At 50.8% G+C, this 14,860-nt stretch overlaps 2 pseudogenes across 1 annotated transcript, besides 1 other annotated feature; one reads left to right on the top strand and one right to left on the bottom strand.

Annotated features, from left to right (window-relative positions):
• Nucleotides 1,281-1,620: an enhancer, noted in NCBI's record as "active region_10002". NCBI's record gives its function as "activates an Ori minimal core promoter by ATAC-STARR-seq in GM12878 lymphoblastoid cells {active_cell/tissue: GM12878}" and the evidence as "EXISTENCE:reporter gene assay evidence [ECO:0000049][PMID:35858748]".
• Nucleotides 2,257-3,548, top strand: DNM1P45 (dynamin 1 pseudogene 45; annotated as a pseudogene).
• Nucleotides 7,876-14,712, bottom strand: GOLGA6L3P (golgin A6 family like 3, pseudogene; annotated as a pseudogene). Its single transcript, NR_171665.1, has 9 exons — nucleotides 14,508-14,712; nucleotides 12,724-12,843; nucleotides 12,042-12,101; nucleotides 11,776-11,856; nucleotides 11,024-11,111; nucleotides 9,691-10,639; nucleotides 9,364-9,424; nucleotides 8,235-8,337; nucleotides 7,876-8,025 (listed from the first exon to the last, which is right to left on the bottom strand). The product of NR_171665.1 is annotated as a golgin A6 family like 3, pseudogene (transcript).
• Between the last annotated feature and the right edge of the window lie 148 nt (nucleotides 14,713-14,860).

The raw sequence follows: 14,860 nt of genomic DNA, 5'->3' as shown, positions 1-14,860 counted from the left end.
GCCTTCAGCTCAGGCTCCCAGCCTTCCCTGGGGCCCCTCTCTGTGGTCCTCAGAGACCTGTTCCACAGGGATTGAGCCCACCTTGTCACTTGCAGGGACTGCCCCCTGGAGTGGTGGGGACTGGGGCCCCCAGGGGCACCTCCCTGGCTCTGTCTGTTCTATCTGTTGACTCTTCTGCAAAAAAGCGGGCAGAGAGGGGAAGAGCAGGCTGGCCAATTTTGCCCTACTGTGTCCCCACGTGTCCCTTCATCTCTGTGCCCAGAGATAGGGCTGGGCTAATTGCCACTGCCTTGGGGGTGGCCCCTTTCCCACCACCAGCCCAAGCAACAGGTTCCTACCATGCTGATCTATGGTCCAGCACCTTGGCACCTGCCTACCCACAGCCCCTTCCCCTCCCATAAAATCTAGTCCCATGGAGCCAGACAGTAGTGCCCACAGCAGGGAACAGATGGGCATAAAGGTGCTTTGAAGAGGGTCCTGGCCTGACCAGGGGCGGGAGGCTGGAGAAGGGGCGGACACTGTCCTCCCAGGCCCAGGCCCAGCCCTGGATCCGACCCTGGCCTCTGGCTGTGAGCCTTAGACTCAGCCGTTGACAATTTCCTCCTCAGCCCTCCCCCTGGAAGGTGTTACGCCCCTTCTACAGGTGGGGGACACTAAGGTTCAGAGGGGCCACCCTGCAGCCTACAGGGGTCACCTCTCACATTCTACTCTCCAGCGTATGACAACCCTGGACGAAAGGCAAATGTAGCCCTGGAGCCTGCATGTGGCAGCCGCGGCCGCTCAGGGCTGGGTGTATGCTGGGGATGGAGAGGACACCACTGAAAATCACTCCTGGCTGGGCGCGGTGGCTCACACCTGTAATCCCAGCACTTTGGGAGGCTGAGGTGGGCGGATCACCTAAGGTCAGGAGTTTGAAACCAGCCTGGCCAATGTGGCGAAACCCCATCTCTACTAAAAATACAAAAATTAGCCGGGTGCAGTGGTGGGCACCCGTAATCCCAGCTACTTGGGAGGCTGAGGAAGAAGAATCGCTTGAACCTGGGAGGCAGAGGTTGCAGTGAACTGAGATCACGCCTTTGCACTCCAGCCTAGGCGACAGAGGGAGGAGACTGCGTCTCAAAGAAAAGAAGAGAAAAGAAAAAAAATTACTCCTTAGGGACTGAGACCAAGAAAGAGCATCAGAAGCTGAACCCCTTGGTGAAGAGCGTCTGTCCCAGGACTTGGAAGGGAGGGAGGGGAACGTGGCCAGGGGGGCTGCCTGCAGGTGCCTGTCCTGCTGCTCCTCAACTCAACATGCTCACCTCATTTCACACCAACACGCCCCATTCTCAGAGGAGGAGCCCAAGGCTCTAAGAGGAAGTAACTGGCCCAAGGACACATGCCCTAGTGACACAGGCCCATCCTAGGTGCCGACTGCCCACCTCCAAGTTCCAGGCCACCCTGAGCAGGTGGAAGAGGGAGAGGGCCCCGAGCAGGCCCCAGCTATGGCTTTGCACAGAGAGGGCAGCCTGCCAGAGTTCACGCAGGAAAGCAAGTTGCTGGGAAGGCTAGCGTGAGTCCCAGCCCCGCTGTGCTGACCGAGGGTGGAGGAGCGTCAGGCGTGCTTCCTGTCTGTCTGCAGCAGCCAGGCTGGCCCAGCAAGACCTGGGGACCCACGCTCTGAGTCATGGGTTCCCAGGCCTTAGTCAGAACTGCCCCTGGTGGCAGTCCCTTCCAAGGGGTAAGGAGCAGGGCCTGTCGACTTGCTCCTGACCCACACACTGAACCAGTCCCTAAGAACATCATCCTGGGCATGCCGTACCTGTCGTGCAGTCTGAGTCATGCTGCCAGGGCAGGTATCCAGCTCCCAGCCTGGGAGTGCTGAGAGCCAAATCCACTGCAAAGCAGGGCTGATAGTCAGGGTCCCACCTCATCTATCTGTCGGCAATCCAGTGGTATCTAGGTGAGAGTCCCATGCACACGGTCATCCCACAACACACTCCACACTCCACAGGCCAGGCGGGGACACACAGCCCCCTTCCCTCCCTCCCAGGTACCACCATAGCTGCTAGTGTGTGACCGAAGGCAGGGTCCCTGGCCCCCGCTGAAGCACTATCGCCGACCAGCAGGCTCACACACCTTGGCCTGTTGCTCCTAGGGGTCGCCTGTGCTATTCAGCCAAGGGGACCACAGTGCCTGCTGGCCCAGCTGAGCTCCGCCTAGCGAGCCCACCTGCCTCTCCTGCCATGGACTCTCCCTCTTCTGCTTTTCCCAGCAGGAAGGGCCCAGCCTCACCTATGCAACCTGCAGCCCCACCCCCGCCAACCAGTTGAGGCTCCCCTCTTAGACTTATAAGTCTATGGCCAGTGGCATCCGGCTACCTGCCCTCCCTGCCTTCCCCAGGGTCCCTTCAGAGGACCCTGGGATTTCGGACCACCCAGAGGGGCCTCTGGCACTCACTCCAGTCATCCATCCCTTATAGCTTCACCATTTTTGGTTCAAGCAGTGTTCCCTTTCTATCAGGCCTGGTGGCTGTTGGGTGGGGCTCCCCAAGCAAGAGGTGGCCCTGGGCCGTGAGTTGGAAGACAGGGTGACCAGAGAAGAGAGAAGCCCGAGGGGGCTGAGCATTCATCTGAACTATGGGTGGACTGCCTGGGTGCCATGAAAGAGGCCAGCGTGTGTGGGGTGGGGAGGGCCGCCGCAGCCCCCAGGCACTACCTATGAAGCTCCGGCTTCTCCCTCCATCTCCCTCCCCTTTCCCTTCCAGCCCCTCTTTTCCAGGAACCTTGCCATGCCCACACCTACGCCCTCCCCTCCCCGGCCCTCCACAGCTGCTGCAGCGCATCCATACTCTGCACTTGCCTCAACCAGCTCTGGCTTTTCTCTAACCCGTTTTCTCTCTGCTTTCTCTCCAACTGCCAGCTGATCGGGTCAGGCAAGTCCATCCCGTCCTGAGAGCCCCAGGCCCCACTTCGACCTCTAAAAAGATTCCTCCTCTTCTCAGAGACCTCCCTTTCCAAGCCTGCCTGGGCGGGTGTCCTGTGACTTGACAGTGGCTCCCCCAGCCCCAAAGCCAGCCCCCTTCTTCTGTGACTTAAGTCTGTTGTAGCGGTGAGCTGACACGTCCAGGTGTGACCATTGCTGAAACTTGTGCCCCCTCTGTAGTATGCCCCTGCCCTGTTCTATAAATAGCTATAAATTCTCATATATATACACATACACAAACACACACACACACATACACACACACACACACACACATATATATATATACATATATACATGTGGTCGACTGCCTCGCCTCTAGAACTGGGAACCAGTCCCCGTGCTGTGCTTGTGGAGTCTTGTAGCCCAGCAAGAGGAAGCTGTCTCCTGACATCGCCCCTCCAAAGTGCACCACCTCCAGTGAGCTTCCGGGACATGCGCGGCCTGTGGACAGCCAGCCCCCGCCATCCCTCCCGCCCTTCTGGCCAAGCATGGCGGTGCTGTGCAGGCAGCTGTGTGGCCTGACAGTCTCTACCAGTCCTGCTGTCCCTCGGCTGAGAAACCCATTTCTGAATGACAGAGAATGTGTCCTCTGCTGGCTGTGTTCTCTATGGAGCTCAGGGGAGGGAAGAGGCCAAGCCATTTTTAGGGTGCTGTTGGCAGCAGTGAAAAGGTCACACCCTTTTCAAGGGACACTTTTCCTGGAAAGTCCCTGGAGCTTAGCTGGCTCTTATCCTATGAAGCCGGCTCTGGCCACTAGGGCACAGGGCCCTGAACTCAGCCTGGAAGGAGCCTGTGGGGCAGCCGGCACTCTGGAGGGACAGACAGGCCACCCGGTGCAGACAGGAGAGGGAGGCAGGGGGATGGAATGGAAGACACCTGGGGTGGGTGGAAGTCAGTGCCCTTGGGCACTGGTATCTGTCTTCCTGACCACAGCTAGATCAGGCTTCTCAACCTGTTGGCTGTCAGGGCCGGACTATACTCCATAGGCGCCATGGCAGTCCTCGTGAAATCCACCAGGTGTCACCAGGCAGCATACAGGTAACAGGCCTGGAAGATTCCCCACAGCCCAGCTGGACATGCTGAGACACTCTGGGGCTCCTCGTTGAGTGGGAAAAACTGCAGGACCCAGTGAGGGAAACAGGAACATGCCAGGCCGAGCAGTATGGCTAAATCCATTTATTCCAAAATCAAAAGCGAACCAAAACAAAAACAAAAAAACAAAACAAAACAAAAAAGGGGTCCCATCACCAGGGAGCCATGACGCCATCCCCACCCCCATCATCGCTCCTATGCTAACAATGAATAAGTTTCCCAGCCGTGAATAATTATAAGAACCTCTTCCTCATATGCCAGCTGCAACCTCCGCTAGGTACGATACAGAATGTTACACAGCTACAGTATGTACACGGGGGAAGGGGGGCCACCCCCAGCAGCCTGTGCCCTGGCCTGGTCTACAGTTAACTCCACTGTCCCGCCTCAGCTGCCTCTCTGAGTAAGAAGATGGGAGCCCCCCTGAGGGAAAAGTTGCTTTGGTGAGAGTAAGAAGGCCGTCAGACCTCCTCCAAACAAACCAACTCCACCAACCTCTGGCTCTTAAATAACATCATCATCCAGAAATGTAAGGACTCAGCCTTGGTCAAGGTGGTAAAGGGTCTGTTTGTCTCCCTCCATTAGACAAGGGTCTTGTCTTGCTACCCTAATGGTAAAGGGCTGACTGGGGAGGGGTTGTAGGGACATGGTGGGGGTGAAGACTCCAGACCCACTTCTCCAGGCTTATGCTGACAGGGGCCTGCTTTTATTTATTTTTATTTTTATCCCATGATGTTTTTTTAAATCCCGTAACTTCTTTTTCAGAACTTTTTAAAAAAACTTTTCATAAAACTTTTTTTTTTTACTTTTTTCCCACATCTTTTTTTGCCACAACTTTTCCACAGTATTTTTTATCCCGTAACTTTTTCATCCCACAACTTTAATTCCTGTAATTTTTTAGTTTGTGTTCTTTTAATAAACACACTTATATGGTTACAATTTTGTAAGAATAAAAACCGATTATCTCATGCCAAGCATGCCCAGCATTTGCACAGTCTCAATACCTTTAATACTATAGTTTTCAAGACACACAAAATTTTTAGGCAAAACAGCACCTTGAAATAATCTAATAATCTATTACATTACAGTAGCATCACAGAAGCAGTCAATAATGCCACTTTAGACAAAAATCAGTATTTCCATCATGCATTCTGTGTATAAGAATTCATAAATCGGTAAAAGTCGTTCTAAGAAAACTTGGCAAATACAGCTTTGGACTGGAATTGGCATTTCTTTCTCTACTTTTCCTTCCCCTAGATTCTTTGTTTTAAGCTACAGTATTCGTATTTTAAAATGTTTTAAATTATTTTAAGACGTTAATATAACAGTTACATTTTTGAATAGTTATTTGAAAGTGACTGTAAGATAAAGTTTTAGGGAATCTATTTTGGATAGGGTTGATTTACATTTTCACATTTTCTAAAAATCAGCTTTGGTTTTAGAACTGATTGTTTTTCATTTCAGGAAAAACTATCAGGTTTAATCTATTACTTTAAAAATAATTATCATATATTGCAGTCTTTAAATAGGTATTTTCATTCTTTACTTCCTACAGAAATTCAAATTTATTCAGTCGAACTCACATTTTAAAATTCTATCTTTCTGCTGAACTCTAACCTTCTAATATTGCCTTCTAAGCAAATTAAAGGCTGCCTTATACTGAATGAGGAAGAGAACAAATACTTGGCTGAATGAGGTACTGCAAGAGACTGCATGCACTTTGAAGAAAGACTTGAGTTATTGTCATAGGATTTCCATTCTCTTTAGCTTTTTCTTAAACATATGACAAAATACCTACACAGAGAGTGGTATTTGAGTTAATATAGTACATTTATTTTTCAGACTGACATTCAGCTTAAATATGCCAGTATGTGATTTAATCCACAGGTACCTGATGAACACATTATTGTCAGATTGGTTACAGTTGCTAAACGCTATCTGAAGGTCATTCCTAGTCATTTATACGTGTCAGGGTAAAAGTGAAGCGATTTGAACTATAAAAATACCTTTGAAATAATTTATCAATGTATTAGATAAGCTCAGTTTCAGAATGATAAACTGTTAGACCAAATAATGTGGCTAATTAACAGTGGTACGATTTCTAGCCCGAGGGTTTAAAATGGAGTTAAAGTAAGTGTCTTTAAACTGAACTCAAAGAATGCAAAAGCGGCAAGTTCAGAAAAGGCAAGAACAGGACCTTTAGTCCATTTTAAGCCATAAATATTACACAAAATATGCCTCTAACTGAAACTGAGAGGTATAAAAACATATTTCACTCTACGTAAAGAATTTTGTGAGGAAATATAAGTCTGTGATTGTATAGACACTTTCCTCATGACACTTTGACAGTCACAAACAGTAGATTGCGCTGCCGTTTGTAAACATTTTAAGTTGCATAAACTGCTCCTTGATTTTCAAATGTAGTATAATACTGTCTACTAAAATTCCTTTTTGTTTCAACTAAGTACTCTCACATATATTAGTTTATAATAATTGTTATTATTTTTAAAGTGTTCTCCATTCAAGGAAAAGAAGTAAATTCCTATGTCAGATGGTTGAAGACTAGCTATTAGCCAGAGAGGTCTAGATGGTAAAATCCATCTTCTAGCCTCAAATAAGCTCCATGAACATAGAGGAATGCCAGGTGTCCCACAGCTTTCCTTCACTCGAATTCATTCTTGACTAGAGCCTGTATATGCCTGTTCCAGGGGCATTTAAACTCTTAAAGGATTTCTTCTGATCTTTACTAAACACATTAAGGAGAATGCCAACCAGTGCCCTTTTGTGTACTGGGACATGTAGTCATGTGATTAAAACAGGGAACATGAACTCTGACTTTAAAATGTATTGTAGATATAAATGCTCTCAGCTAGAAAAGGTTTTCCACATCCACAGTCATGATGGGAGCCTTTCATTCCTCAGAAATAATCCCTTTTCAGGTCATCAAAAAAGAGTACAACTGCCACAGCTCATGAGGCAGTATCTTCATGAGCCCAGAGCACATACAAATCCTAAGGGAACTACCATAGTACAGCGCTCATTCTTGGCACCGGAACAAATGAAACATATTCTATCCTGCACACACCTGCCAGAGCAGGCCACTTTCCTCTTCTGGGAGATTTAAAAACCTCCCCAAAATGTTATTACTCCCATCCCCAATACACAGAAAAAGGGGGAAAGGCTGTTTCCAGTGCTCCACCTTTAAACAACTGTAAATGTCAGTACTCACAGTGGCATATTACAAAGTAATAGACCGCGCACTTGAGGGCAAACCGCATATTGAGCTAATGAAGAGCTCACTGTGATTAGGATTCGATCAAACATAATAGCAGAACATAAGGAAATTTTATCTGAATTCCGTAATGAATATACATGCTGTACTAACATTCAAAAAGCATGGCAGCCTATCCCAAACCAGCAAGAACAGTTGTGTGCATACAGTGGGTCTTTGTGTGTTTGAACTCCCACCACATAAGGGCAAACTCGATATGCATGCTAACGTCCTATAATTATCAAATTAAAAAAATGCTAAAAGATGCCAGAGTGAACATGAGAGAAAGACCCACTGTCATTTGACTTTTTACAAATAAATTTAAACTATAAATTAGAAACACAAATAAATTTAAACTATAAATTAGAAACACAAATAAATTTAAACTATAAATTAGAAACAAATAAATTTAAACTATAAATTAGAAACACAAATAAATTTAAACTATAAATTAGAAACACAAATAAACATAAGTGGCTCTAACATTCAAATGAAGTAAATGAATTGTGTAGGATATTAACCCCTTAAACGTTTTGTTGTTTTTTTTTAATTCCTTGACCCGCTCTTAGATGATGGTGATGTTTAGCTCCCTGTTCTCGGCAGCCCGAAAAGAATGGCATGCAGCCTCTCCTGCTCCTCCTGCCGCCTCTCCTGTACCAACAGCTTCTCCACCCAAGCCTGGGTGCTCCTGGGGAGTCCTGCATTAGAGGAAGCAGCTGCTGGATCTGCTGTGCAGTGGGGTTGTCATGGGGGAGAACCCTCCCTGTCCTGTCCCGGTGCAGCCTCCATGCTATCAGTGAGGCTCAGCTCACTAAGATCTTCAGAGAGAGGGAGGGGGTGGGAATCTGGGCACAGTGCGAGCCTCCCCTGCTCCTGCCTGCCCACCCCGCCTGAGGGCTCTACTCACCACCCTGCTTGTCCGCACATCCAAGCTCCTTGTGGGACTGGGGCTCCAGCTACTGGTCTGGCTGCTGCTGCAGACTCGGAGCCTCTTGGCTCTTCAGCTCCACCTCATGAGGACATGTGGTGGCTGGCTTCCAGATTCCTGGCCCATTAATAGGGTAGCGAGGGCACTGTGGGGCTCTGTGGCCTGCCCAGGCCCCTGGCCCCTTGCTCCAGGCCTAAGAGACTGTCTCCCTTGCCTAGAACCCCATGCCTCCTTCCCTAGCATCAAATCTCACGTCCTTTTTCCCAGCATTTAAACTGTAGGCCACAGACTGGTGGAAAAGCAGGCGGAGCCAACCACCATCTGCTAAGTGTGCTACATGCCTAATGTTTCCACGTATTATCTCATTTAATCCTCAGCACCTCTGCAAGGAAAAGGCTAACTTCCTTTTGAAGTTAAAGAAACAGAGACTTAGAGATGCAAAGTAGTTGAATTATGACCAGTGGAACCGAGGCCGGAATCCAGTTTGAATCTAAGGAGTCTTTTTTGTTTGTCTGTTTTGTTTTGTTTTGAGAGAGTGTCACTCTGTGTCCCAGGCTGCAGTGCAGTGGTGCAATCTCAGCTCACTGCAACCTTCACCTCCCGGGCTCAAGTGATTCTCGTGTCTCAGCCTCCTGAGTAGCTGGGATTACAGGCATGCACCACCAGGCCCGGCTAATTATTATTATTTTTTTTAATTTTAGTAGAGATGAGCTTTCACCATGTTGGCCATGTTGGTCTCAAACTCCTGACCTCAAGTGATTGTCCTGCCTCAGCCTCCCAAAGTGCTGGGATTGCAGGCGTGAGCCACCACACCCGACATAAGGAGCCTCTTATACCACTGTCTCTTCCTCTGCTCTGTGATTGGGGGGCTCCATGCCTCTAGCTGGGATGATGATGTCCAGACCTGGGAGGACCCCAGGGCTACCCACCTCTAAAAGTCAGAGGGCAGGAAGCAAGAAACAGTCATAGGACTGCCCCGGAGGGTGCTGGGGTCACCTGTCCCCAGGCTGCAGCTGCCTGTGGCCTGGTACCTCCCCTCCCCAGAGGCTGGTGCCCGCCTCCCACATCTTCTTGGATGGGTCGGAGGTTACAGTCTCTTTCAGCTCACCCGACTTCTTCAGCTCCTTTACTTGCTGCTCCAACTGCAGTGTGCTCTTGTTCTCGTTGTTCTGGACAGAGAGAAGCAATCAGTGGCCACCCACTAAAACTGGAGACCCCAGAACTTAGTGTCTGCCTCCCATGGCACCGGGAAGGGTGGAGGCAGGTTAGAAAAATATCCCCTCTCTCCCACAGCCATCAGAGCAGGGCTCTGGCTCACAGATGCCTTTAGAAGTACCATTTCATGTGAAGGCTACAATGCCCCATTTTACAGGTGGGGAAACAAAGGCCTTGAGGGCTAGGGAAGAGGGCAGCCTCCCCAGGTGGGGCAACGCACCAGCTCCTCGAAGCCGCTGCGTGGCTCGGCCCGCTGCTCGTACAGGGCTTCCCACCCCAGCTCCAGCATCCTCTCCAGCTCCCGCAGCCTCTCCAGCTCCTGCAGAGTCTCCTGCTGCCACAGCCTCTCATCCTGTTGCCGAAGCCTCTCCTGCTCCAGGAGCTCCTCCACCTCGTCCAGGAGCTCCTCCACCTCGTCCAGCAGCCTCTCCCTCTCCCCCTCTCCAGCAGCCTCTCCTGCTCCTCCTGCCGCCTCTCCTGTTCTAACAGCTTCTCCACCTCTTCCAGCAGCCTCTCCCTCTCCAGCAGCCTCTCCTGCTCCTCCTGCCGCCTCTCCTGTTCTAACAGCTTCTCCACCTCTTCCAGCAGCCTCTCCTGCCCTGGCAGCTTCTCCTGTTCACACAGCCTCTCCTCCTGTTCACGTAGCCTCTCCTCCTGTTCACACAGCCTCTCCTCCTGTTCACGTAGCCTCTCCTCCTGTTCACACAGCCTCTCCTCCTGTTCACGTAGCCTCTCCTCCTGTTCACACAGCCTCTCCTCCTGTTCATGTAGCCTCTCCTCCTGTTCACGTAGCCTCTCCTCCTGTTCACACAGCCTCTCCTCCTGTTCACACAGCCTCTCCTCATGTTCACGTAGCCTCTCCTCCTGTTCACACAGCCTCTCCTCCTGTTCACGTAGCCTCTCCTCCTGTTCACGTAGCCTCTCCTCCTGTTCACACAGCCTCTCCTCCTGTTCACGTAGCCTCTCCTCCTGTTCACGTAGCCTCTCCTCCTGTTCACGTAGCCTCTCCTCCTGTCTCCTGTTCAGGAGACTCAACATCTGATTGTTTTCCACCTCAGCCTGGAGCTGTCTTCCCACACTCTCTAGCTCCTTCCTTAGGTGGTTGGTCTCATCTTGTAGCTGCTCTACCTTAGATGGCCCTGCTGGGGGCTCTGGGGCCAGGGGTTCAGCTGAGAAAGGAAGCAGACAATAAGGGCCTCTGGATTCTCAAAAAAAAAAAAAAAAAATCCTCCCTTCGGTGCACAGCTCCTCCTCTCAGGCTTCCCAAACTTGGCCTCACTGCTAATGACTCCTCACACCTGGATGGTAGCCAGTCTTCCAAGTCACTTTCAGATAGAGAGCACTGTGGGTGGCTGACAATGGGCACTCCTCCCTCTTTACTGATGGGGACACTGAGGCTCATGGAGATGACAAGACTTGTCCTCCCCTGGCACAGACCTCTTTCCCTCTGCCTCAAAGTCCTTCCATCCACCCACCTCCCTGGGGCATTCTAAGTCACCCCCACAGCCCTCTAATGCCAGTCCAGCTGCCAGGTCATGCCAGCCCCATCTTACCCGTCTGGTTTTTGAGTTTGAACAAGCTCCTCCCAAGCTTCTGTACCAGATGTATCTCATGCTTCTTCTCCTCCTTAGATGTGCGAACCTGCCCAAAGCAAAGGGGGAAAAGGGCCCTGGAGGGAGGGGCTGGTGAACCTCTAGAGACAGAGTTTGAGAAGGGCCCACCCCCCTTCTGCCAGTTTGTGATTTAGAAACGTGCATTCATTCAACAAACATTTACTGAGCATGTACAGGCCAGGTACAGTTCTTCATAGCAGAGATATAAAACAGCAAAGGACAGACAGGAGCCCTTGGCCCTGAGGTTTCCATTCTAGGGGCCTTTAAATCTCTGACTTTCAGAGCTAACCGAGACCTTTGATACTCTCTACCTCCTCCAGAAACACGAGCATAAAGAGGAGAGATGGCTTCTCCAGACTCAAAAAGCAAATTAGGGACTGAGGCAGGGCAGAAATATGGACCCCTGACAACCAGTCAGGCTAGTGCTTCCCAGAGAGGTGACAACCCCAGGGCATGTGTGGCAAGGACTAGAGCAGGGGTGTCTGGAGAAGAGAGAGTCAGCAAAGAGGGCAGTGCAGAAGAGCCATGCTGCATGTTCTGTGCTCTGGGGTCCCTCCAGGTGAGACCTGGGTGCCCAGCTCCCCATTTGCCCTTGGCATCAGGGGCCCCTAGCCCCTTTCTTCAGGGCCCCAAGAGGAAACTGGAGTCCAGGATTGACCAGCTGTAATCAGGGGACCCCACTGGACTCTTACCAGTGAATTGATGTTTTCAGTGAGTTGACTGATTATTGCGGAGCTTGAATCCAGGGCCACTGCTAGTTCTTGGTACTGGCTCTGAGGTGCATGCAGAGAGAAGGAGTTGGAGGAAGATTGTGGGGAGGGGTAGAGAGAATAATCATTAGGGCTGGTGGGGGTGTGTGGGCTGCCTCAGCTGGCAGAGGGGCAACAAGCCCCTGCTGTGGGAGGAGGTTGGAGGGCTGGCCTGCAGGGTCACTGCACCTCAGCCCAGGGCCTCTTACCTCCAGATCCTCCAGGGTAGTAGAGGATGCACGGCCCTCCCCGTAGATACCTGTTGCTGACTGCAAGAGATGAGAGTGCACATGGAGATGTTCTGTCCCCCCTCACTGTCTAAGCCCTCTGACTTCCTTTCTTCCCCCATCAACTGGCAAAAGCTTCTTTTCTGCCTATCTTGGACCCTTTTTCCCATAACTCCTTTGTGCCAACTTCTCTCGTGGTTCTTATCTCCCCACCATCCCACCCTGGGGCCCTTTCAGTGACTCCTAAAGGGACAGCCTGATGGCAAGTGGCTCTTCTCATTGGCCTGGCTTCCCCTTGAGACTGGGGATGAGGAAAATCAAACAGCAACGACCATTTCCTCGGTGTCCTGGGTGTTTGCAGCAGGCCATGTACTAAGGATTCACATAAAAGCAACAATAACGAATCTCATTTAAACTTCACAAATGGAAGTCAAAAAATACCACCTCTATTATACAGATGTGAAAAGAGAGGCCCAAAGACCTCAAGCAACTTGCCCTAAATCATATGCTAATCAATCCCTAATCAATTCTTAGCAGATGGAGAGGCAGGATTCAAATCCAGAATTCTTAACCAGTACCCAACAGTCCATCTACAATCTTAACAATTACCCTCTACTGCCCCTTGGGCCCCCTGTCGCCAGGACCCTGGCCCGCCGAGACTCACATCCCCAGGTGAGTGGTAACCACCAGAAGTGGCTGTGTCAGGGCTACTGCCATTGATTTTCTTTTTCCTGTTAGCTCCTGCTGGAATGCCAGGGCTCTTCCTCTGCCAATATGCTTTTAACTGTGGGAAAGAAGAGCGGTAACACTCATGAGAATGATCAGCCCCTACAGCCACATCCTCCTTTACAGTTTTGACAAAATACCCTTATATACCATCTGATGTAATGCCACCAACAACTGTACAAGGTGTTGTCACAATCACTTAGTGACTGAGAGGGATTGATATCATGGATAGAAAAAAAAAAAGAAAGATCAAAAAAGGCAATACTGGAACTTAAACTCAGTCCTCTGACTCCAAGCTCTGGGGTTTTGCCATGAATCAGCAGCTTCCAGGGACCAAAACCAGGGGCAGAGGTAGAAAAGCACACATTAAGCAGGCAGGAACTGTAGGCCGTGTGGTTTAGAGTCATACATCCTCACAGGTCTGCTAGCGTGAAGAAGCGTACCAGTACCTCTCACACTTTCATATCAATGTGTCCTCATGGCAGAAGGCAGCTTTTCTATTAAATCTGGGAATTTATCAGAAAGAGGACAACCCAAGCCTCATTTCAGAGCGAAGTCTGGTATACGCTTGGAAACCTATGTGTCTGTCATCCCTAAGTACATTAATGCATTTTCTCAAGAGAATCAAGGGAAAATGATGCTTCAGAAAGATGTCCCACATTTATCCTGTGGCACTCAAAGTACCCCAGGTTGAGACGATATGAGGAAGATTCAAGCTGTCAAGTTCAGTTTCCCAAGATCTATTCCACAGAAGATGAGCAAATCTCACTTCAGAGGCCACTGACTGAAGGGCAGTCTGGTCCCAGAACCGTGGAGAACTCAGAAAAAAATGTTAAAGTCTCTCTGGAAAGTAGAAGCCTGGGAAAAAACCAAACCAAACCCATTCTCCCATTGCCACCCAGAGATACTGTGAACATTTTGAGCTCACAGGGGAAGTGTAGGCTTTTTCCCACTGTCAATGTCTATGTTGAGGGAGTAAGGCAGCCTGAAACCTCTTGCTCCTAGGTCCCATAGTCTCCACTCCCCTTCCAGCTGGAAATTTGTGCTGCAACCAGAGGAACCAGAAATGGGGTGAGAAAACTTAGGGGACTGGGTTGTAAGATCAAAGGCTGGTCTTGCAGCAGTAATGACAGTTCCTAGGGGCACTGTGACATCATTGCATTCCACTCCTCCCAGGGGAGGGGACCACATCAGCGCGATGCCCGAGTCGCTGCTCCACGATGGGGGAGGGAAACACACGGTTTCGACCCAGGTCCTCAGAGACGCCAGCCCAAGAAGCCTAGGGAGGTCGAGCTTGGGGCAGCAGGAGGGGAGGGCAGAGTCTGCAGTAGGGAGCCCCGGGAGTCACCAGCCCAAAGCCACCCAGGGATGACTGGTGAGGGCAGGGCCTGGGGCTGGGGGACCCAGGTCCTGGGAGACGCAAGCCCAAAGAGCCCAGGGAGGTTGGGCTTGGGGTGGCAGGAGGTGAGGGCTGATTATGGAGCAGGGAGCCCCAGGAGTCACCTGCCCAAAGTCACCCTGGGGTGATTGGCAAGGGCAGGGACTGGGCTGCTTGCTGAAGGGGTGGGGCTGACTGACTAGGCTTTGGTTGGGGGAGCCCAGAGGGCTGGGGTTGGGGGGCCCCATCTGGTATGCCTCAGGAGTGGTATGGACTCTGGCACCGGTCTTGTCATCGGAGGGGATCTGTGGCTGGGTTGGGGGCCGTGACCTGGTGTGTTTTACCTTTTTCTTGGCTGCGGCCAATTTCCCCTGTTGTGTTTTTTCTGACATCGCGGGGTGGGGAGGGAGGCGGGGTTGGGGCCACATCAGCGAAATACCAGTGAGCACTGCTCAATGCCTCCAGTCACCTACCAGGCAGCTGTGCAACTGAGCCACAGGTGGCGTAACCAGGGCACCAATGGAACGCAGAATAGGGGCGTGGCCTTAATGCTCCAAGCCCATTGGTCAGTGAGAAAGATGAAAGGGAAAGGAGGCGTGGCCAGGCAGCAGCATGTCCAGAGGGACCTGTGGCATCATAAGGAAAGCTGCCCATGCAACCGCTGTCCCCGCCCACTCAGAGAAAGGGGAGGGGCCGC

This window comes from Homo sapiens, chromosome 15 (genome assembly GCF_000001405.40).
Source record: "Homo sapiens chromosome 15, GRCh38.p14 Primary Assembly".
NCBI classification, from domain to species: Eukaryota; Metazoa; Chordata; class Mammalia; order Primates; family Hominidae; genus Homo; species Homo sapiens.
Note: the sequence above shows the minus strand (reverse complement) of the source record. Positions and strands in the feature narration are given on the sequence as shown.